The 24232-nt window shown below is 40.4% G+C and overlaps 1 protein-coding gene and 1 long non-coding RNA gene across 5 annotated transcripts in view, besides 1 other annotated feature; both read right to left on the bottom strand.

The window, feature by feature from the left end:
- SPECC1L-ADORA2A (SPECC1L-ADORA2A readthrough (NMD candidate)) overlaps positions 1-24232 on the bottom strand; it is a 171544-nt gene that overhangs the window by 87945 nt on the left and 59367 nt on the right. The window contains 5 exon segments of the long non-coding RNA NR_103546.1: positions 7240-7330; positions 10813-10934; positions 15939-16030; positions 19843-20006; positions 23985-24160. This is a non-coding gene — a long non-coding RNA (SPECC1L-ADORA2A readthrough (NMD candidate)).
- The window catches only part of SPECC1L (sperm antigen with calponin homology and coiled-coil domains 1 like), a 146908-nt gene that overhangs the window by 63323 nt on the left and 59353 nt on the right, over positions 1-24232 (bottom strand). For 3 of the 4 annotated variants that reach the window (NM_015330.6, NM_001145468.4, NM_001254732.3), the window contains 4 exons: positions 23985-24160; positions 19843-20006; positions 15939-16030; positions 7240-7330 (listed from right to left, as the gene is read on the bottom strand). In NM_015330.6, coding sequence (NP_056145.5) covers positions 7240-7330; positions 15939-16030; positions 19843-20006; positions 23985-24160 — 523 coding nt within the window. Of the gene's footprint in view, positions 1-7239; positions 7331-9897; positions 10006-12021; positions 12309-15938; positions 16031-19842; positions 20007-23984; positions 24161-24232 lie in introns of those variants that run through there. The other variant, NM_001254733.2, reaches the window with a different exon arrangement.
- Positions 14748-15443: an enhancer, noted in NCBI's record as "H3K27ac-H3K4me1 hESC enhancer chr22:24734941-24735636 (GRCh37/hg19 assembly coordinates)". NCBI's record gives its function as "activates a minimal SCP1, AML or CMV promoter by ChIP-STARR-seq in primed H9 embryonic stem cells {active_cell/tissue: H9 hESC(primed)}" and the evidence as "EXISTENCE:reporter gene assay evidence [ECO:0000049][PMID:30033119]".

Genomic DNA, 24232 nt, shown 5'->3' with positions numbered 1-24232 from the left:
AATGATGTCAATAGAATAATACATATAAATAATTCCTTACAGATGGAATAAGGAAATAGAAAACCACCACTGAAACACCACGGTAATAACTGTTGTGGGCAAAATGCATAAATAAATGCTGAAATCAGTGAGAGAAAGTTTAAGAAGGAACAAAACTGATATAGTCTAGGTGTCTGTCCCCTCCAAATCTCATGCTCAAATGTAAGCCCCAGTGTTGGAGGTGGGCCTGGTAGGAGGTACCCGGGTCATAGGAGCAGATCCCTCATGAATGGCTTGGTGCTGTCCTTGTGAGATCTGGTTGTTTAAAAGTGTGTGGCACCTCTCTCCTCTCTCTCATGCTCCCCCTTTCTTCATGTGACATTCCTGCTATTGATTTGCCTTCCACCATGACTGTAAGCTTCCTGAGGCCTCACCAGAAGCTGAGCGGATGCTGGCACCATGCCTCCTATACAGCCTGCATAACTGTAAGCCAATTAAACCTCTTTTCTTTATAAATTACCCAGCCTAATGTATTTCTTTATAGCAATCCAAGAATGGACTAACACAAAGATATTTACTAATTCCTAGCAGCCAATCACCTAACCAAGTGAACAAAGTTAATTTAACATCAGAAGTAACAAGACACATCAATCTCATGTACCCCTGATAAAATAACTTGAAAAGGACACATCACCTCTGCAGTATCCCTTCCATTAAAACATAAACTCAGGCTGGGCATGGTGGCTCATGCCTGTTATGCTAGCACTGTGGGAGGTCGAGGTGGGCGGATCACCTGAGGTCAGGAGTTCAAGACCAGCCTGGCCAATATGGTGAAACTCCATCTCTACCAAAAAATACAAAAAAATTAGCTGAGTGTGGTGGTATGCGCCTGTAATCCCAGCTACTCGGGAGGCTAAAGCATGAGAGTTGAACCCAGGAGGCGGAGGTTGCAGAGTGAGACCTTATCTCAAAAAACTCAAAAAACAAAACAAACAAACAAAAAACGAAAAAAACTCCATAAACTCAACTTAAATCAGAAGAAAATATCAGACAAGCCCATCTGAGAGACATTCTGCAAAATAACTGACAAGTATTCTTCAAAAGTGTTGAGGTCATGTGAGACAGGGGAAGAGTGAGAAGCAGCTGCAGACTGGTGGGGACTAAAGAGATAAGACAACTAAATGGAAAGTAGGAGCCTCAATTTGATTCTAGAATTAAAAAAGGACATTAGTGGAAAAACTGGTAAAATTCAAATAAATTCTGTAGGTTAGTTAATAATATTTTACTGCTATTAATTTCTTACTTTTTGTAACTGTTCTATAGTTATGTAGGATGTTCCTATAAGGGAAGCTGGGGGAAGGGAACTCTAATATTTTTGTTAAGTCTAAACTTATTTCAAAAGGAAACACACAGAGAGACAGAACACCATAAATACTGATATGCATGCTGAAGGGTAGTGATTATAACTTACTTTGTGATAAAGCAAATATAAAAGAATGCCACAGAATCTAGGCTGTAAGTAAGTGGATAATTCACGGCACAACTTCTTGCAACTTTTCTGTATGTTTGAAAATTTTCATTATAATATGTTGGGGAGAAAATAAGAGCTGAGATTGATAAAAATAAGTTCTGATTTTTATCAAGAACCACAGGGAAGAGGAAGAAGAAGGGGGAGTGACTAAATATCCAATTAGACTGTAAAGTGCAGGAGGGTAGGATTTCTATCTCATTTTATCCTGGGACTTTCATGGCCTAAGGCTAGATCTAAAGCTGAGGCAGAATCTGATTTAGAGTAAAAAAGAAAATTCTGTGAAAGTTTTTAAACAGAAGGTTTGGCTTTCCAGTAAAACCTCCTAACTTCATACAAATTTATGGTATGTACCCTTAACATAAATCATTTTTTTTTCAAAATACTCAGTTTATAAAAATCTCTGGCCTCAAGTAACACAATTTAGACAGGTAATAATGGTATGAAATTTCCTTACAGAACACAACTACACTTGGACTAACGAACTTCTTAAGACATCTATATGCCTGAGCTGAGAGACACGGTGATAGGGTCACACTGACACTGGGCAATCCCAGGCTTCTCAACCATTTACACCAGCCAGCTGAGGTTTATGCTTAACATTCTGGAGCTCATCTGGTCACTGTGCACTTTCCAACTACCTGTATCCATGTACTTGGCAGCAGAATCTGTGCTTTTCAGCTTAGGGCATAAAGCTAATTCATATACTATCTACAAAGATTCACTAAGGTGGCACCAGTCATGACCCTAGCCATTTAATTCCACTGCTGGTAATACCAACAAAAGAGCATTTGATTAAGTGCATTTATAGTAAGATTTCTCTGGTATGAAACATTTTCCTGCAAGTGCATGATGCTAAAGGATAATAGATTTAAAAAAAAAAACTATTGTAGAGCAAGAGGCAGCATCTTTTTTTTTTTGAGACAGAGTCTCGCTCTATTCCCCAGGCTGGAGTGCAGTGGCGCAATCTCGGCTCACTGAAAGCTCCGCCTCCCGGGTTCACGCCATTCTCCAAGAGGCAGCATCTTTTTAAACTTCAGTAATGAAGACACTTAAATTTTTTAAACGAAAATTACACACTGTATTTTTAAATTCATCCCTAAGTAAATAAGACAACCAAGGAAGAAAAGCAGTTCAAGACAGAGCTCAGAAATCCTACTCTCATCACAATTTGGAAAACCACAGTGGCTTTTTATGGCCACGAATCATTTGGTTGTTCTTAGTTTTCTGAGTGGTTCTTTTCTTGAATGACTGTTTAAGATAAACGATCACAGTATCAACTACTGTGATATAGATTCATCTAAGTGTGTTTCCTTTCTCCTGTATTTGCAATGTCTCAACCACACTCCACTAAGGCATGACAACAGACTGAAGTGGAGAATGAGACCAGCTTTTACATAGACTGACGGCATGTACCCCCATGCCGCTGGCACTACCGTTTGATGCATCACCAGATGATAAAATAAGAGCCAGGAATAGAATCTTAATGCATTTAATCTGTGTTTTCAATAACCTTGGCCTACAGACCTTCCACACCCATTCTCCACCCACAAAAGCCAAGGTAACAGAAATAATTAAACGGTAGTCTTTGCCCAATAATATTCCAAATTCACTTATTCCTAAGAGTCACTTGGGGTGCTTGTGAAAATGGCATATCCAAGCTACTGAGTCTACATCATTAGATCTGAGGGGAGGCCCAACATTCTATATTTTAACAAGTGACTCAGGTAAGCTTGAGACACACCACTGGTGCTGGTTTCCCCTGGTAAACCTCGCCCTGCTCTAACCCCATCAAGATAAGCCTGGAAAGCAGCAGTGGAGAGTGGAGAAGGCCTCGAGGGTTGGCTTCAGCTGAGCTCAGGAGGTATGGGAAGACCCTGAGCCATTTCTCAGTGCAGCACTCCACTCTCCTCAGAGGCCACCTGGAACATGGAGCGTCACTGTCCTCTGATGCCCCAGGATCACCTCAGTGCCCTCTGATAGGGGTCTCTCCTCCTGGGCTTTCTCAGGCTTGCAGCCACACCACCGTGCCCAGGCTGGACTCACAGCTTTAGGGTACTGGCACAGGGTTATACTTACCCTCAGAGGCTGCTGCAGACTTGCACTGGCTCTGACCACACTTAACGCAGACTGAAGAAGGTCAAAAGGCTGACTATTGACAGAACTAGGGCACACCTACCAAGCAGCAGAGTGGAAACGTTCCTGAATTCCTGGTTACCATCTCTGCCTTCAACACATAGAGCTTTTTAAAGATGCCTAGGACACAACTTGTGTAGGTGCTTTAGTTATTTGCTGGCAGCTAAGCAAAATCCTGCAGGCAACTCAGGCGTCTAAAATCTTTGACTTGTGGGCCAATGAGAGCTATCATTCTCAGCCACTTGTGCTACTCAGAAAAAGTTCACACATATAGTAATAAAATTGAACAGCAAAGATTTACTATGGGATAGAATTGGCGCTAAGCACTTTACAAGCTTTAACTCTTCTTTCTTTCACTCACCTCACAATTTTTTATCAAGAGTCCAGTACTTCTACAGGTGCTGAGGATGCCTCAGTGAACAAAACAGACACCAATCTTGCCTTATAGGTCTTACAATTTAGGGAAATAAGAGAAAGAAATAAAAATTATAGACAAACCATATGGGATGTTAGAATGGGACCAGTGATAAGGAGAGCAAGCAGAGAAAGGGGTGTGTGGGAGAACGAGTGGTTTCCATCTTTAAATATGGTACTTAGGGCCTTGCTGAGGAGGTTCGATCCAGCAGTGTTCCAGGCAGAGGGTTCCAGCATAGAAAGTGCCAGTTGCAAGGTGTCTAAGTCAGGAGCATGCCCAAGTACTCAGGGACAGCAGGGAAGCCCATGTGGTGAGGCAGGGTGAGCAAGAAAGTGAAGAGGCTAGAGAGGACACTGAGGCCAGGCTGCGAGGGTCTGGAGGCCCCTGAGAGAACTCTGGCTCCTCTTCTAGAAGAAATGGGGAGATGTAGAGGGTTTGACTAGAGTAGCAGGTTTCAATTTCTGTTTTTCAAGCTACAGTGTCAAGAACAGACACTGAGGGTGATTAGGAATCTTTTGCCAGAACCCAGCTGAGAGATGATGGTGGCTTATACCAGGGAGGTGACAGTAGAGAAAAGAGCAATGCTCTTATTCTGGACATATTTTGAAAGTAGAGTCAATGGGATTTCCTAAACAACTGAACAAGTCTAAGATGAAGACGGGAGTTAAGGATGACTCCAAGGTTTCTAAGGATGAAACTGCCATGAATGGAGATGGAGAAGGCAGATTACATGTAGAACAAGTTTGGAAAGTGGGGGAAATCTTGTCCTGGAGACATTGTCTGAGAATATTCAATATCAAAATGGGAAGATGTCAAGTAGGCAACTGTATACACGAACCTAGAGTCCAGAGAAGAACAGGCGAGAGATGCAAATCTGACAGTCCTCAGCACAAAAATAGTATTTAAAGTCATGAGACAGGATACAATAACAAAGAAAGTGAGGACAAAGAACAAAGGCCCTGTGTTGAGCTCTGGGCCACACCTCCACGTACAGGTCAGGAAGAAGAGAAAAGCCAGGCCGGGTGCGGTGGCTCATGCCTGTAATCCCAGCACTTTGGGAGGCCAAGGCTGGCAGATCACCCTGAGGTCAGGAGTTCGAGACCAGCCTGGCCAACATGGCAAAACCCCGTCTCTACTAAAAATACAAAAATTAGCTGGGTGGGGTGCTCCACGCCTGTAATCCCAGCTACTCGGGAGGCTGAGGCAGGAGAATCACTTAAACCCAGGAGGCGGAAGTTGCAGTAAGTTGATATCGTGCCACTGCACTACAGCCTGGGCGACAGAGTGAGACTCTGTCTCAAAAAAACAAAGAAAAAAAAAAGGAGAAAAGCCACACAGGAGAGGAAGAAGAAGCAGCCTGACAGAGAGAAGGCACAAGAGTGTGGTATTAGGGAAACCAAAAAGAATGTCCTAGAAGACAGAGTGCTCAACAGTGCCAAATGCTGCTGACGGGTCACATCAGATTAGGACTGAACTGGCTGGGCTGGGGACACAGCAGTCGTTGACAACTTCAGCAGCTGCAGGTGTTAAGAGCCCAGGAACCCAGTGAGCTAGGTGTTCACTATCAATTTACAGATGAGGAGACAGCACCAAAAAGGTTGCAGTTAACAGCCAGGCCATGGCAAGGCCAAGATCTCTGTGCTGCACACCTATGTAAATCCTTTGTGGGTTCATCTGGGAGGCGGGATGTAAAGAGAGGAAGGAGAGATGCAGAGTATTTGGGTTAAGAAAACTTTAAACCTTCCACTATTTGTTCCCTTAGCAAAACCTTCTGAGGGGAGAAAAGAGCTTAGGTGATGACTGACAAATGAACCAGAAGCCAAGAAGCAGGGCAGAAGGCAAATCTTTGTGCCAGGGAGGTAGTAGCAGCACCACCTTGTACTCCATTGCCCCTAAATGTGTACACAACCAGCTTATCAGAACACTGAAGACTGACAGGTATAGGGCCAGTTCAACCACCAAATTGAACTCTTCAGGCGCTGGTACTACATGGAGCCCACAGAGCCAGTCCTTTGGGTTCTTTAATTTAATACTTTTCACAAGTCTGCTTACTTCTGACCCAAAACCTGTTGAAGCCTTCTAGTCTAACATACACAGCCTAACATGCACAACCAAGAATTCCTGACGCATGGAAGTAACTGGCCTGCATCAGCTAAGAGGAGCCCTCAGGCCCTGAGGGGACACTTGGGAACATTCCCACACCCACCCCAAATGAAGCAGTGCTTTTCCCAGCACCACACCCCAACACTGCAGTTCATCTTTCCAATGCACTTTAGTACCTCACATGAAGAGGCAGCGTGGGGTAAGAGAAGGAGCCTCAACCTCGAAAGGTGGGATACTTGGGTTCTGGTGCCAGCCCTACCATAAAAAAACTACGTGGAAGGCCAGGTGCGGTAGCTTGCGCCTATAATCACATCACTTAGGGAGGTTGAGGTGGGCAGATCACCTGAGGTCAGGAGTTTGAGACCAGTATGGCTAACATGGTGAAACCCTGTCTCTACTAAAAATACAAAAATTATCTGAGCGTGGTGGTGTGCGCCTGTAGTCCCAGCTATTCGGGAGGCTGAGGTGGGAGAATTGCTTGAACCCGGGAGGCAGAGGTTGCAGTGAGCCAAGATTGTGCCACTACACTCCAGCCTGGGAGACAGAGTGATACTCCAGCTTAAAAAAAAAATGGCTGTGTGAAAACAGCAAGTTCCTCCCAAGGGCTCCAAAGAGTTGCTGACCCTCATCTTCCAGAGTCTCAGCTCTCTCAGGGTAACAAAACTCAGTCCAGAGATTTAAGGAATGGGCTTTGAAGTCAGGCTGCCCTGGGCTACTGCTTAGTAACTAACTGTGTTAACCTGAATTGAATTAGTTAACTTCTTTAAGCCTCATTTTTGGTATCTATAAAATGAGGATGACAATAATACATATGCCATGAGGAACTGTGAAAACAGTGCCTAGCAATGGTGTACACTCTCTATTACCCATTATGACAGCTGTCAGGAAAGATGCATTCATTAACAACTACTTTCCCCACTTGTAATTTAGATATACTTACTAGTGAACTTCTGATACAAAGGTATACCAGATTGATTGAAATAGTATCAAGAGCAAAGAAAATATTTAGTTTGCCAAAAAAGCCAGAACAATTCAAAAATTGAAAAAAAGGTGAAATGCTATGGCATATTACACGTACCTTGAACAGGGATTTCCCCATAGTTTGGTCTCTTATCTGACAGGGCTGTCAGGGGTTTGGATGTTGAGATTGGTCCACTTATGGAATGTCTCTGAAATCATAAGATAAACAACATCAAAGTTAAAATGACTGTTTGGACTCACAAAGTAAATGCCGCACAGAGTAGATATTTAGTTATAAATCCGTATTAATTCTTTCCATACTGCTATAGTAAGGTTGTAACACACCTTACAGGCATGGACTGTGATCAATATACTTTTTTTAAAAATTAGACTTTTTATTATGGGGTAATTATAGACTCATATGCAGTTTTAAGAATATAAAGAGATCCTACGTACTCTTTACTCAGTTTCCCCCAACGGTAATATCTTACAAACCTATAGTAAAATACCACCAGCAGGATTTTGACATTAGCCAAATACTGATATAGTCATTATCTTATATAGTCATTTATATGTTACTGATACAGTCAAGATAAAGAACATTTCCATCACCATAAGGATCCTTCCTGGGGCCCTTTTACAGTCACACCCCTCTTCCCGTCCCCAACCCCCTATCACTGACCTCTGGCAACCACTGGTATTCTGAATGTGGTTTCATTATTTTGTTGGAAGAGAATCTTTAAAGTATCACAAACCAATTCAGTAAATACAAAAACATGTTCCAAAATAAAATGCAGATGTGCTCCTTTTGTAATTGTACTGACCATTCAAGTCCTGGTTCAAATAAATCTCAATTCTGCCACCCGCTTGCTAATGCTACAACAACTGCCCAGTACAGCCTGTCATCTCAGTGCAGCACTACAGCAATGGCTTGTCACTGGCATCATCGCCAGACTTCTGCATATGCAGGCAGCCAGAAGAATCCACCACGGCCAGGCGCAGTGGCTCATGCCTTAATCCCAGCACTTCGGGAGGCTGAGGTGGGCGGATCATGATCTCAGGAGTTTGAGACCAGCCTGGCCAATATAGTGGAACCCCGTCTCAACTAAAAATACAAAAAATTAGCTGGGCGTGGTGGCAGGCGCCTGTAATCTCAGCTACTTGGGAGGCTGAGGCAGGAGAATCACTTGAAGCCGAGAGGCGGAGGTTGCAGTGAGCCGAGATCGCGCCACTGCACTCCAGCCCGGGTGACATTGTGAGACTCCATCTCAAAAAAAAAAAAACAAAAAAAACAGAAAGAATCCACCATGAACACTTAAAACCCCTCAGCTCTCCTGCCACCTCTACATGATGCTCAAACACCACCAACCTACTTATTTACTATCATGCAGACCACGTTGCTTGTCTATGTTTTTCTTGTGCTTCACTCCCACAGATTTCGCCCAGCCCTTTTTATCTGGCTAACTTCTATTTATTTCATATTCCCATCAGAAATGTGGACAAGGTCCAGCTTCTCCACATCCCTACCACACTTCAGATCGTCAGCCTTTTAGATTTTGGCCATTTGGAAGAATATAGAATAGGATCTCATTGTGGATTTAATTTCCATTTTCCTGATGACTAATGATGTTGATCATCTTTTCATGTGCCATTGGCCATTTGTATTCTTCTCCTGGAAGGATCTTCTCAAATCTTAGCCCATTATTTATTGGGTTGTTTGTCTTCTTACTGAATGTAAATCTTTGTTAGGTAAATGTATTATGAATACATTCTCCCCAGTCTGTAGCTTGCTTTTTGTATTTTCTTAACGTCTTTCAGAGAAGTTTTAAGTTTTAAGTTGCCTAATTTATCAACTTGCTTTTATAGTTCATGCTTTTTTATATCTTAATAAATGTTTGCAGTCTTAAAAGTCATGAAGATTTTCTCTCATGTTCTCATGTAAAAATTATAGTTTTAGCTTTCACATTTAGGTTGATAGTCCATTTCAAATTTTGTGTATTTCATAAGGTACGGGCTGAGGTTATTTTTTTTTCTATACAGTTATCTAGTCATTTCAGAATCTTTTCTTCAAAAAACTATTCCTTACCGATTGAATTACTTTGGTATCTTTGTAGAAAATCGACTGGCCTACTTCTGAACTCTCTGTTCTACTGATCTAATGTTGAAATCAGGTAGTACAAGTCCTCCAAATTTGTCCTCCACCCGCACCCCCCCGACCACAACAATGTTTTGAATATTCAGGGATCTTGCATTTCCATATGAACTTAATACTACCATGTCAATTTCTACCCAAAGAGCACTGCTCTTTTAATTGGTATTGTGTTGAATCTACAGACCAATTTAAAAGACTACTACAAGATATTAATGATATTGAGTCTTCCAATCTATAAATGACATCACTTTCTATTTATTCAATTTTTCTCGGCAATATTTTATTGTTTTCATTGCACAGGTTGTGCATACATTTCATTATATTTATTGCTAAGTATTTCAATCTCCAATTATTCATGCTAATATACAGAAAAACAAATAACTTTTGTATAGGACCTCGTGTAAACCTTGACACTGCTCAACTCAAAAAGCTTTTGTGTGGACTCCTTAGGATTTTCTACATAAATGATCATGTTATCTGCAAATAATGACAGTTTTACTTTACCCTTTCCAAACTTGTATGCTTTTCTTTCTTTTTTTTTTTTTTTTTTGGTCTTATGCAATTGCACAGGGTAAGAGCTCCAGCAAAATGCTGAACAAAAGTGGTGACAGTGGGTATCCTTACCTTGCTCCTGATCCTGGTGGGAAAGCATTCAGTCTCCAGATTAAGTATGACGTTAGCTGTGGAGTTCCCACAGGTCTCCTTCTATTTCTAGTTTGCTAAAGAGTTTTACTATGAATGGATGTAAAATTTTGTCAAATAGTTTTCTAAATACGTTGAGATTAATGTTTTTTTTTTTAATTTTTTTTCCCTCTTTTATTGTGTTGAGGTAAATTTTAACCTTGCACCCCTGGGATACATCACACTTGGTAATGATGGATTGTCGTTTTTATATATTGCTGGATTCAGTTTTGTTAATGTGTGCTTTTATATTGCATCTATAACCATCTATAATCATGAGGAATACTGGCTAGCCATTTTCTTTTTTTGCAATGTCTTTGTCTGGTTTTGCTATCAGGTAATGCTAGCTTCCTAAAATGAACTGGAAAGTCCTTTTACTCTTCTGTTTTCTGAAAGACTATATACAATTGGAATTATTTCTTCCACAAAGGATTGATTCAATTCACTAGTAAAACCACCTGGGCCTGGAGTTTTCTATGTGGGAAGCCTTTTTATTTTAAACTTTTATTCTGAAATAATTATGGATTCCCAGGAAGTTGTAAAGATAGTACAGCAAAGTCCCATATACTCCTCATTCACTTTCCCCCAACTGTCTGTGGATAATGAATTCCCTCAGCTTTTGTTTGCCTAAATAATTTTACTTTTACTTTTTTTTTTTAAATACACAGAATTCTAAGTTGACAGGGTTTTTCTTTCAGCATTTGAGGATGCCATTTTGGGCTGGGCACAGTGGCTCACTTTGGGAGGCCGAGGAAGGTGAATCACCTGAGTCCAGGAATTTGAGACAAGCCTGGGCAACATGGAGAAACCCCATCTCTACTAAAAATACAAAAATTAGCCAGGCACCATGGTACGCACCTGTAGTCCCAGCTACTCAGGGGGCTGAGGCAGGAGAATCACTTGAACCCAGGAGGCAGAGGTTGCAGTGAGCCAAGGTCACGCCACTGCATTCCAGCGTGGGCGACAGAACTAGACTCCATCTCAAAAAAACAAAACAAAACAAAAAAAAAACACAACCATTTTGTTGTCTTCTGACTTGCACAGTTTCTAACTAGAAGTCTGTGATCATTCTCACCTGCCTGTCCTTAAGAGTTTCTTATCACTGTTTTTCAGCAATGCCTTAATGGGCATGGGGATGAGGGTGTTTGTATGTTTATATACGCTTGTCTTGCTTTAGCTTCCTGATTTTCTTGGATCTATGAGTATATAATTTCCATCAAATTTGGATGGATTTTGGCTATTATTTCCTCAAAAAAAGAATTTTTTTTAAGATGGAGTCTCCCTGTGTCGCCCAGGCTGGAGTGCAGTGGTGCGATCTCAGCTCACTGCAACCTCTGCCTCCCGGGTTAAAGTGGTTCTCCTGCCTCAGCCTCCCAAGTAGCTGGGACTACAGGCACACACCACCATGCCTGTCTAATTTTTTGTATTTTTAGTAGAGACAGGGTTTCGCCATGTTGTCCAGGCTGGTTTCAAACTCCTGAGCTCAGGTGATCTGCCCACATCAGCCTCCCAAAGTGCTGGGATTATAGGCGTGAGCCACTGCGCCCAGCCTATTTCTTCAAATGTTTTTTTCAGACACACTTCCCACTCTGCCCCCCGACCCGCCTTTTTTTCTTGGGCTCCAATTTCAGGTATGTAGGACCACTTAATTTCATCCCACAAGTCAGGGCTTCAGTTTATTTTTTTCCCCAGTCTTTTTACCTCTCTGTTACTCATTATGGACAGATTCTACTGCTATGTCCTCAAACATACTGATCTTTTCCTCTATTTCTTTTTTTTTTTTTTTTTTGAGATGGAGTCCTGCTCTGTAGCCCAGGCTGGAGTGCAATGGCACAATCTCAGCTCATTGCAACCTCCCCCTCCTGGGTTCAAGCGATTCTTCTGCCTCAGCCTCCTGCGTAGCTGGGATTACAGGCACACACCACCGTGCCTGGCTAATTTTTTTGTAGTTTTAGTAGAGATGGGGTTTCGCCATGTTGGCCAGGCTGGTCTTGAACTCCTGACCTCAGGTGATCCACCTGCCTTGGCCTCCCAAAGTGCTGGGATTACAGGCGTGAGTCACCATACCTGGCCTCCTCTATTCTTTTTCATATCTTTCACTTCTCTCTTCATCTGTGCATGCTTCCCTTCACATACTTAAGCAGAGATCATATTTACATTGCTGCATGCTAATCCTATCATTTCTATCCGTTCTAGGTCTGCATCTATTGACTGATTTTTCCCCTGGTTATAGGTGACATTTTCCTGCTTCTTCATTGTCTAGTAATTTTTTATTGCATGCCAGATTATGATGGAGTCTTATATTTTGCTGTATTCCTTTAAAAATTATTACTTTGGCAAATAAGTACACTACTGTATTAGTTACCTATGCTGCATGACAAATTACTTCAAATCTTTAGTGGCTTAAAACAATCCATTTATGATCTCATAGTTTCTGTGGGTCAGAAAGCTTAGCGGAGTGCCTCTGGTTCAAGGTCTAGCACGAGGAGGCAATCAGGTTGTCAGCAGGGCTGCAGTTATCTCGAGGATCGAAGATCTGCTTCCAAGCTCATCTACATGGCTGCTGGCAAGCTTCAGAAGATCTGTTCCCACACTTCCTAATGTGGGCCTCTCTGCAGGGCTGGCTCACAACATGGGAACTGGGATTCCCTGGAGTAGGTGGCTCTAAGTGATAGCAAGAGGAACATTCAAGGCAGAAGCAAAGCTTTTTGTAACGATTTTAGCAGTGATAACCTTATCCCACCACTTCTTTTGCTTTGCCATATTCACTGGAAGCAAATCACGAGCTGCAGCCAACACTCAACAGGAGCAAATTACACAAGGAGCAACTACCACCAATGGGGGATCGCTGGGGAACATTTTAGAGGCTGCCTACTATAGCTACTTAAGGATCTCCTTGGTCCTTCTGCATCTTATTTTTAAAGATCTTTTACGGCAGATCTAGAATACTATTTACTCTGAGGGTATTTAGTTCTATGATACTTTCAGGTGTGGTCCTTTAGGAGTCTATAATGAATGCCATCTATTCAAAGAGGTGTCTCCACAGCGGCTGGTGGGAACTCAAATGATTTCCTGCCCTAGGTGAGCTACCAGAAGTGTTTGTGTGATAGCTCCCTGTTCCTGGAAATTGTTCCTGGAAAATTATTCTTGCGGGGCTGTTCCTGGAAAATTATCCTTGTGGGGTTTCACCCAATGCAGGTGCAGGTTGGTATTCAGGAAAAGACTCAAAGGGATGCCTACGCAGATTTCTATACTCCTTTCTCTATGCAGCTCCCTCCTCCCAGTATCTGCCCTGCAAATTCGAGCAGTCGCCTTCTCCTTGAATGTTGATTTGTGTCTACTCAGATCCAATTGGTTTTCTCTTCCCTGCTCCATGTAGGTTCATCTTCCCTGCACCACCACCTGGAAATTGCCTCCAGGAAAAGACTGTGGGCCACAGTAGGACTTACCTCATTTTAAAATTTTTGTTCAGGGATCACAGTTACGTACAATGTCTGAAAATAATTGTTTCTTATATTTTGTCCATCTTTCTATTAATCGTTGTTTGTGATGGCAGAATAATCCAGCCTGTTACTCCCACATAGCTAGAAGTAGAATTCCTACCCAGGGAGTTTTGAAAAACTAACAATCCCAAGCTTAGGCCCCAGTCCCCAGAGATTATGGTTTACCAGGATGAGGTCTGGGAATTTTACCTGTTTAAAAACTCTCCACATGATTTTTATATACGATTAGGTTTGAGACGCACTGTACTAACTAATCATGTACTAAAAAGCTACTGAATGTAGCTCATAAGTATTAGTTTTTTGCAACTTGTAGAAATATTTTTCACCTCCTATCTTTACAAAGATTTACAAAGTGATGCCTCATACATTAAACGTCAACTGATAAACACCACTTAAAGTTCATCTTATTTGAAGTTTATTACATTTGGCATCTTTATTTTGCTTTTATCTATATTTTCAGAATTTTAGATGAAGTTTGATTAATAGAGAGCACATAAAAAAAGCATTAAATCAGCTGCGCACAGTGGCTCACGCCTGTAATCCCAGCACTTTGGAAGGCTGAAGAGGGCAGATTGCTTGAGGTCAGGAATTTGAGACCAGCTTGGCCAACGTGGTTAAAACCGTCTCTACTAAAAATACAAAAATTAGCTGGGTGTGGTGGTGCACACCTGTAATCCTGGCTACTTGGAGGCTGAGGCATGAGAATCACTTGAACCCAGGAGGTGGAGGTTGCAGTGAGCCGAAATCATGCCATTTCATTCCAGCCTGGGCAACAGAGTGAGACTCCGTCTCAAAAAAAAAAAAAAAAAAAAAAAAAAGGTCATTAAATTGGTGGAACAGTATTCCCTTCCCTTCTTTTTAAATTACGACATAATGTCAGGCGTGGTAGCTCATGTCTGTAATCCCAGCACTTTGGGAGGACCAGGCAGGTGGATTACCTGAGCTCAGGAGCTCAAGACCAGCCTGGGCAACGTGGCAGAACCCTGTCTTTACCAAAAACACAGAAAACAGCCAGGCATGGTGGTGCACGCCTGTGGTCCCAGCTACTTGGGAGGCTGAGGTGGGAGGACTGGTTGGGCCTGGGAGGCAGAGGTTGTGCAGTGAGCCGAGATCATGCAACTACACTCCAATCTGGGTGACAGAGGGAGACCCCGTTTCGGGGTAAAAAAAAAAGGACATAACATCTTGTATATACATGCAAATGCAAAGCCACGAACTCACAATATAAATGCGGAGGGAGCACACTAGTAAACACAGCACAAATGTCTCAACTCGAAAATGCTCCCCAACACCATTATTTTAGGGAAGAGGTGCAGCCAGGGCTACCCTTTATCACAGGATAATGGGGTTTAGGCAATGTTTCCTTTGGCTACTCTCACCTATGTGGAAATACTCCGCCTCAACTATACTGTCCAAAAGCGGCTGAATAAAATGCACAATGAGCGGCCTCTTGAGCACTACTGAATAGCCCTCTGCCCCGCTTCTCATCTGCATTCCACAATGGCACGGAGGAGCAACTTTTAAAACTTGTTTCTAATGTATCAATAATGACCTGTGCCGGACCTGTTACAAAACAGCCCTCATGAATCATGCTTCTCTGAATTCATGCCTTGTGCACCCCTTCCACTCTGAATCGCAGCTGCCCTGTGACTTGCTTGGATTAAAATAGCAGGACAGAAGTGTCACTGTCCAAGTTCCAAGCTTAGGTCTTCAGAGGCTTTGCTAACTTTCATTTTCAGTCTCTTGGAGCTGGAGATAACCATGCTGTGAAGGAGCCTGAGAAGACAAATCACATGAAGAAAGCAGCCCAGGAATCCTGCTGAGCCCAGGCCCCATCCCACCTTCTCTGTGAATTCAACTGCAGGAATGAGCCCAGGAAAGCCAGCAAAGAATTGCCTAGTCAACTCAGAGAAATGTGAAAACTAACAAAACTGTTCTTTCAAGCCACTAAGTTCTGAAGTGATTTGCTATGCAGTAAAGGCTGAGACATGGCAACCACATATTCTACTCAAGAGACACCTTTGTGTCTTAGTGTAGTGACTAAAGTCACTGAATCCAGACAGCCTAACTCTGAACCCCTACTCTACCACTTAATTGCATGAACCTCGGCAAGTTACTTAACCTTTCTGGGCCTCAGTAACCACATGTGAAAAATACAGATAAGAACAGTACCTAATACCCAAGAGTTGTAAGGATTAAATGAGTTAACATTATAAAGTATTCAGAACAGTGTAGAACACATAGCAAGTGTTCAACTGTTGTTAGCCATCATTATTAGAGTCTATCAGAATAACACAATTTACACTTATATAATTTATCTCTATTAAAGATATTTATAGTATTTTAGGAAACAAATTCTAGATACATCCCTGCTGAGGTAGTCATTTACCCAACTAATACAGGTGTAAATGACTGTGAAGAAAAGGCCTCAACTTTCAGATTCTGAGGCTCTAAGAGCCTCCTGTGGTTCCAGGCACTCACCTGCATAGGGGACACAGCTGCTGCAGGAGGGGTTTTCATAGGACTTGGGCTCAGGGGCGTTCGAGGAATTGCAGCTGCAGCAGGGTTTGGTACTACAAAAACAACAAACAAAAAGGGAAATAATGTCACTGTACAGTGGAAGCTTAACTGGTCTCCACTTAAGGACTCGCCTGATTACCCAATGCTCTCAAACCCCGCTGGACACTGTCTTGGCTGATGTCTAGCCTCTGCTGAACACTTGTAGCCATGTCTTAGCACACAGGTGCTTTTCCTCCCATCAGGTGAATTATTTGCATCTGTAGAGTAGTCATGCTTATTTCTAACCCTTGTTATGGCAGTCATTTCGTTTTTGTTATTTAATTATGTTATGTAGTTAAAGTGCTCCATAAAGCAATGAAATTCAAGTAGTAAAACCCAAGAGGAGTATTTACATAACTATATCAGGTAAGAAGCCTGGCAGGTAAAGGATGTTCAATAGTTGCATATTAAACAAAAGAATGAGGAACTCCTGCTTCTGCTTGTCTTTCCTCAATTCCTCCTGCAGAGTCCATCACTTCGCATATATTTTCTGATTTGTATTTAATGCAGGGATGTGGAATCACTTGTTGGCATATCAGTCTCTCTCTCTCTATAATAAACTGCTGAAAAGTAGTTTATGTTTTTAGAATTTATTAATATCTAAACAGTTGAGCATAGCACAGATTCTGGTAAAGGCTGCAAAAATGATTATTCATTTGATGCTGAATTAAATTAAAAATGGGATACAAACACACAGTGTGGAAAGATGAAGCAGACCACTGTGGACTTTTTTAATGCAGCCAATATAAACACGAATATATTTACTTATATTTAGAATTGATATCTTTAGATGTATTCTTATGTACTGAGACAAAATTCACAAAACATAAAGTTAACCGTTTAAAAATGTGCAGTTCTGTGGCATTTAGTGCATTCAAAATATTATGCAACCATCACCTCTACCTAGTTACAAAACATTTCATAATTCCAAAAGAAAACCTAGTATCCCAATAGTCACTTCCCATCCACTGTCCCGCCAGCGTATGGCAATCTGCTTTCTGTCTCTATGGACTGACCTAGTGTGAATATTTAATATAAACGGAATCTTACAATATGTGACCTGTTGTATCTGGCTTCCTTCAATTAACATAATGTTGTAAAGATTCATCCATGTTAAAGTATGTGTTACTACTTCATTCCTTCTTGTGGCTGAATAATATTCCATTGTATGAATATACCACATTTTGTTTATCCATTCATCGAATGCATGGATACTTGGGTTACTTCCATCTATTAGCTATTGTGAGCAGAGCTGCTACGAACATTTATGTACAAGCACAGATGCTTCTTGATTTATGATGGAGTTATGTCCTGATAAACCCATCATAAGCAAGTCAAAAATGCATTTAATACACCTAACCTCCCGAACATCCCAGCTTAACCTTGCCTACCTTAAACAAGATCAAAACATTACATTAGCCTACAGTTAGGCAAAATCATCTAACATGAAGCCTATTTTATAATAAATGGCTATGTTGAATAACTCATTTAAATTACTGAATGCTGTACTGAATGTGTATCGCTGGCACTACTGTAAAGTCAAAAAATCAAAAGTTAAAGCATCGTTAAGTCAGGGACTGTATTTGTCTGATTATCTATTTTCAGTTCTTTTGAATATATAATTAGGAGTAGAATTGCTGGGTCATTTACATATATTTTATTATAAAATAACATGAGGCTTTTAAAAAACATTAGTATGAAGCAGTTTTGTGCATTAAAGCATGCTTTATTAACATTTTGAATAGGTGTATAATTTTAATTTAATGTAGACATTCCATTATCAATTTGATTTTCAAAGCATATATATATTTTATTCTTTAGAGACAGAGTCTTGCTCTGTTGTCCAGGCTAGAGTACAGTGGCTATTAACAGGTGTGGTGATAGCATGTTACCACCTCGGCCTCATAAGTAGTTGGAACTACAGGCACTTGTCAGCTCAAAGCATATATATTTTAAAGTTCTCCTTTCATCTTACCCCATCATATTACCCAGAGGTGGCCACTAACAACAGTTCTGGGTACATCTTTCTTGCACTTTAAATGCAAAAACATTTAGTTATCTAAGTACCTTAAAAAAACAAGACCACACACACTATATATGTACACACACACATATAGGTATATATAGATATATACATATATATATATATGTACTGGCCTGCAATTTACTATAAAGGATTGCAGCGCACAGAGCGACTGCTCAGGTGGCACACTTGAATAAAGGATCACAGACATGTTTTAACATCAGTACTTTGAGATCTATGTCATCCTTATTAAAATATGCATATTATTTTACTGTATTAATTGGTCATAACTGTCTTAATTCTTTTAGTAGGTATTTAAACAATTTCTAGGTGTTCCATTTTTCCAAACAATGCTATACTGAAAACTCTGTATATGTATACATATGTATACATACACATAAGAGTTTTTCATACATAATACTATCTTTATACATAATACTTGTGCCAGTACTAAGTATAACAACTTCAGAGTCTGTAAAGATAGTATTATACATAACACTATCTTATATTATACATAATACATATAAAGATGGTACTATGTATAATACCATCTTTATGCATAATACTTGTGCCAGTACTAAGTATAACAACTTCAGAGTCTATGAATACGGCATTTTAAACTGGAAGGTGTTGCCTAACAGTCCTCCAGAATGTCTACACCAACAGTGTGTAGGAGTATACATGTGACTTTTGCTCTGCTTTTAAAGTCAATGAAAACTCATTTGTGTATAATCACAGAATACAGATTCTAGTAGCCTGTTAATAAAGTTTAAAGAATTTCTAGATAAAAATTTGAGCTTCTGGACATATTACAATTAACTGTTTGAAAAAACCACATCCCTTTTCCTTTCCCAGAGCTGAGGAAGTTAGATGAAAACAAGTCAGTCATTTGAAAGTGGGAAGAGTAAGCCTTCTAGAGCTTGTATGAAAGAAAGCCCAGCTTGATTCAGAACCTGAAGTGCTGTGTAGGACTATAGTGAGTGGGGGAAGAGTGGTTCAACTGAGGCAAAGAGTAGGCAGGGGTCAGACCATGGAGGCATTTGGGAATCTGAATTTCATTTCAACTATAATAAGCAACCGAAGGATTTTAAACAAGAAAAGATCTTTTTATCATGGGATGAAACAGGGAGATTAATTTGGAGGTTACTGAAATTAGTGGTTGATGGTGGCTTGAACTAAAGCTTGTGCCGCTAGAGATGGAGAGAAGACAAAGCAAAGATATCCATGATGTAGGCTGTATCAACAGAATTTGCTAGTAATGGACTAGATGTAGTGGTAAGAAAGAACAAGAAATTAAGGAAGATCCCCAGACTTTTGGCTTAAGTAACTGGGTAGAGTGATGCTGCCATTGATGCATGGGGAGAAGGCTGAAGATGGCAGACAAGAGTTTGGTTTTTGGACTTCAGATGTCCAGGAGACACCTGAGGGTCCATGTCAGGTAGGCATCTGGATAGACATGACTGAGGTGTTCAGAGGAAGGGAAGAGCTAAAGTTATACATCTGGAAGTTCTCAGGCATAGAAAACATACTTAAAGTAACAGGAATGTGTGTGATCCACCGAGGGTGAGAAGACACATCTCTGCATGGGATTCAGGCTTCTGTCTAAGACTAACACCTCTGAAGCTGAAGAGATCTCAAACCTTCTATTAAATATCACCTTCTGTTAAGTCTAGTGCATTAATACTATATGAAAGTTAATGGGACTAAGAGTAAGACAGTAAAGAATACCAAATCAGACCAGAGAATATAAGGTAAGTGAACACAACCGCATGCAGTAGGCACAATGTAGGAGAAATTAATTACCTTGAGATGCACTGTCAAAGGACTTGATGAGGGTTTTTACTGTAGGAGTTGGCTCTGAGGAAGTCGAGGACCTTCTACTCAGTCCCATTCCCTGCCTTAAGGCTGCCAAATCTCTCTCAACGGCATTCATGTAATTGTATACCCGGCCTCGCTCCTCCTCTTGCCTGAAAATAATATTGAAATCAGAGCATTTTTACATAGGTACTAGAACATACACATTTTCCCCTCCCAGCTGAAAGGCATTAAAAACTATCAGTTTAATGGCCGGGCACGGTGGCTCACACCTGTAATCCCAGCACTTTGGGAGGCCGAGGCAGGAGGATCACGAGGTCAGGAGATCGAGACCATCTTGGCTAACACGGTGAAACCCCATCTCTACTAAAAATACAAAAAATTAGCCAGGCACGGTGGTGGGCGCCTGTACTCCCAGCTACTTGGGAGGCTGAGGCAGGAGAATGGTGTGAACCCATGAGGCAGAGCTTGCAGTGAGCCGAGATAGTGCCACTGCAGTCCGGCCTGGGCAAAAGAGCGAGACTCCATCTCAAAAAAAAAAAAAAAACAACAAAAAACTATCAGTTTAAAAAAATTGTATCAGTTGAGCTTAGTAAATTACCTGGTCTAATGTTCTCATTTGCTTGGTAAATACCAGGAAATGATACTGAAATTTTTATATCAGGTTATCCTAAGTAAGTTAAGCAACCATCAAATTCCATTTTCATCTGAGTAAGTGTAAGGTAAGGACATCAGTAATCAATTAGCAGTAAAAAAGGAGGTAGACTGGCTCAGAGCTGAGACTCTCCAGGTCCTGTGCTGCCGAGAAGGCCCTTCTCAGGAGTCTGGAGGTTCACCAGTACCTGATAACTATATAATATTAATTTATACTGGTATAATATTAATTTATACTGGCTCCAGCTAATACATCATGCTTAGCCCACACTCTTTAAAAAAATAAAAATAAAAACAAGGCAAGTGGTGTAGACTTCAAATAGAATTCTACAAAGAAAAAAAAAAAAAAGCCTAGACCCATATTAGTAACATGAGTCCCCTAGAAGCTCAGTGTGATGCATCCTGAGTCATTTGAAAAAATCAATTCCATTTCATTTCTGGCCCATTCTAAATTCACTACGCTGACTAACACAGAATTATTTCATCTGGAATGAGATTACAATTGCAGAGTTTGTATATGTCATATAACTATCAAGTATGTGAATAAAAATTAAGCCAGTCCTTAGGAAAAATCCGTCTTTGGTGGCCATTTGGCTTCTGACAGTATTTTGCCTCAAGATGTACCACAGGCTCTTAAGGTCATTTAGCTGTCATGATTACAACTTTCTTTTCTTTTTTTTGAGATGGAGTTTCGCTCTTGTTGTCCAGGCTGGAGTGCAGTGGCGCATCTCGGCTCACCGCAACCTCCACCTCCCAGGTTCAAGTGATTCTCCTGCCTCAGTCTCCCGAGTAGCTGGGATTACAGGCATGTGCCACCACCCCCGGCTAATTTTGTATTTTTAGTAGACATTGGGTTTCTCCACGTTGGTCAGGCTGGTCTCAAACTCCTGACCGCAGGTGATCCGCTCACCTAGGCCTCCCAAAGTGCTGGGACCACAGGCATGAGCCACTGCGCCCGGCTGATTAGAACTTTTAATAAAGAATCTATAACAGTGACTATCAAACTTTTTGGTCTTAGAGCCCCTTTCTACTCCTAAAAATGAGTAAGGACCCCAAAAAGCTTTTGTTTATAAGAGCTGTCTTCCATTACATTAAAACTAAGAATATATACAAATATTTAATCATCTAAAAATAAAAATAAATACAGGGCTAATATATTTTTATGAAAAATAACTAAGTTTTCCAAAACCAAAAAAAAAAATTAGTAAGAAGAGTAACAGGGCTTTGCATTTTTAAATCATCTCTTTAATGTCTGGCTTAAGAGTAAACAGCTAAACTCTCATTTCTTCTGTATTCAACCTATTTTGATATAAAAAAAGCAAGTCTTACATAGATAAGGCAGGTGGAAAAGGGAAGATTTTAATAGGCCTTTTAGATAACTGTAGCTGTTCTTCTTTGATAACTGCACTAAAATGCAACAAGTAGTAACTTAAAAGTTAGCTCCAATGTGGAATCTGAAACCATATAAGTGAACTTTTCCTATTCTGCCCATTAAAATCCACTGGTCAATCTTGTTTAACATCACAGACTGGCTGTAAGGAAAATACTGGTTCACTGAATTAGACAGATTTTCTAAATTCTGTCATTATACATTTTTTTTAAGTCGCAATGATCTCATCAGAAGACACTTTATGGGAAGCTGCCAAACTCACCAATGGTAAATAACAAATTTTCCAAAATCCTAACATTCACTTCAAAGCCCACATTTTATCACTGGCAACGAATACTGTCAGTTGTTTTCCTTTAAGTGATAGGCTGTCTTAACTGTTTTCACAAAATACCCACCAAATAATACCAAAGTCTGAATGATGCACAGTTTGTCTGTCATTCTCAAGTAAAAAAATGGCATTCCATGAAAAAAGAAAGCAGCTCAAACTAATCACAGCACTTTCCTCAACGTGACCTCACTCTTCAGTATAGTCTTGAGTATAGCACATAAAGCAGAAGTGCTTTTTCTGTACTTCCCATTTTGTCACACAAAATGCTAAAGAGTGTACTCAAGGACTGGGATTTAGTAAAATTAATAATTTAATGTTTTACCAAGGACATCTTTAAGTGAAACCTACATTAAAAAAAAATCAAGTATGTGGTGGTGAAGAGTATAATGACTATGAGTGCAATTTATTGCCAAGACCTTGGTTCATCAACAGTTTACACTTGCTTTTCACTAACAGTTTAGAAGTCAACACAGTGAAAAGGGCAAACAATGTGATGGTATTATGAAGACAGTATGACCTCACAGAGTCCTTAAAGGGCCTTAGGGACACCCAGGAATCTGCAGGCCTCACTCTGAGAACCACTGTCCTACAAGATGCTACCTCTTTCAGAAAGCATTTTAAAAACATGTGTCTCAAAGTCTTATGAATTTTTGAGATCCAAAGGAATGAAACTTTAACAGTAGAATTTCATTCACTCAGGATAACTATAGAATGAAGCATTTCTGATATGTTATTCGTTTAATAATAAAGAGAAAAAAGTAATGTAATACATGTTTTATACTAGTAGAGAAACAATAATCTGTCTCATTCCATGTTCTGCTTAAGGAATCCAATGAAAAATGCTTAGCAATACTTTTCTCTGAGCCATTTACTAGAGCAAGGCAATGATAAGACCATTTTTTAAAGATATACTGTTAGTTTTCTAAATTTCTTCCTATGCCCACTTAATAATTACTCAAACTAAGGAATAATCAAATTCTTAGTAATAACCTCAAACACAAAAATACTATCCCCTACTCTTAGATGGAGTCTCAGTGTGGAGCTCACATGTCACAACTGTCATTTCATCTAATAATTTTCATCAGTTTCCAATGATGTCTATGTTACATGGGGAAAAAAAACCTACTGTGGAGATTCATGCAATTATAAGATAAAACAAGTGAAAATTCCTCAAGTAAGTGATAGAGAGAAACTCACTTTGCATTCTTTACTTGGGTCTCCAAAAATACCAGCTAAAGTATACTGATCATTGCCCTGAGCACTTGGCAGGCATTATCTTATTTAATCCTTATGACAACACTGTAAGGCAGGTAGTATTGTGTCATTTTAAAGATGAGAAAACTGAGGCTCAGGGAAGTCAAGATTCCTGACCAAGATTACAGCTAGTAAGAGGCAGAGCTGGACACGAGCCAAGAATATCTGTCTCCAGAGTCCACATCATTAATCATGAGGCTACAATCTAAAGAAAATTAACAGGGCTGGACTGTGGGTCTGGGGGAAAGGAGAATCATGTGAGAGACCATCCTGGCTCCCTCCAGAGTTGGGGATCACTGATACTGACAACTCTGAAAGATCCACATAGATGGTACTAGTTTACATGTGCCATAAAATGAGGCCCAGAAAAGCTGAGTAACTTCCATCAGATCCAAACTCAGTAAGTATCAAACTCCACATTTTTTCCATAGCACCACATCAAAAATTGGGATTTAAGTGTTCTCTACTGAAACATAAGTACACAACAGGTTTCTCAGAACTTACTTGCGTGACTTTATTTCCTCCAATTCTTTTGTGAGTTTCTCATTTTTTTCTTGAGCCTCATGTAACCGGCGCTTTAGATCACCAATCTCCTCTTGGGCTTCAGATTTAATGTCATTTGCAATGACTACTGCAGTCTGGAGATCAGCCTGAAACTGCCGCCATTCCGCAGATTCTTCCTATATTAAAAAACTAACTTTTTATTTCCAAAAGAGAGCAATCAAGATTTATTTAAAAGCAATAAAATTTGT

This window comes from Homo sapiens, chromosome 22 (genome assembly GCF_000001405.40).
Source record: "Homo sapiens chromosome 22, GRCh38.p14 Primary Assembly".
Taxonomy (NCBI): domain Eukaryota; kingdom Metazoa; phylum Chordata; class Mammalia; order Primates; family Hominidae; genus Homo; species Homo sapiens.
Note: the sequence above shows the minus strand (reverse complement) of the source record. Positions and strands in the feature narration are given on the sequence as shown.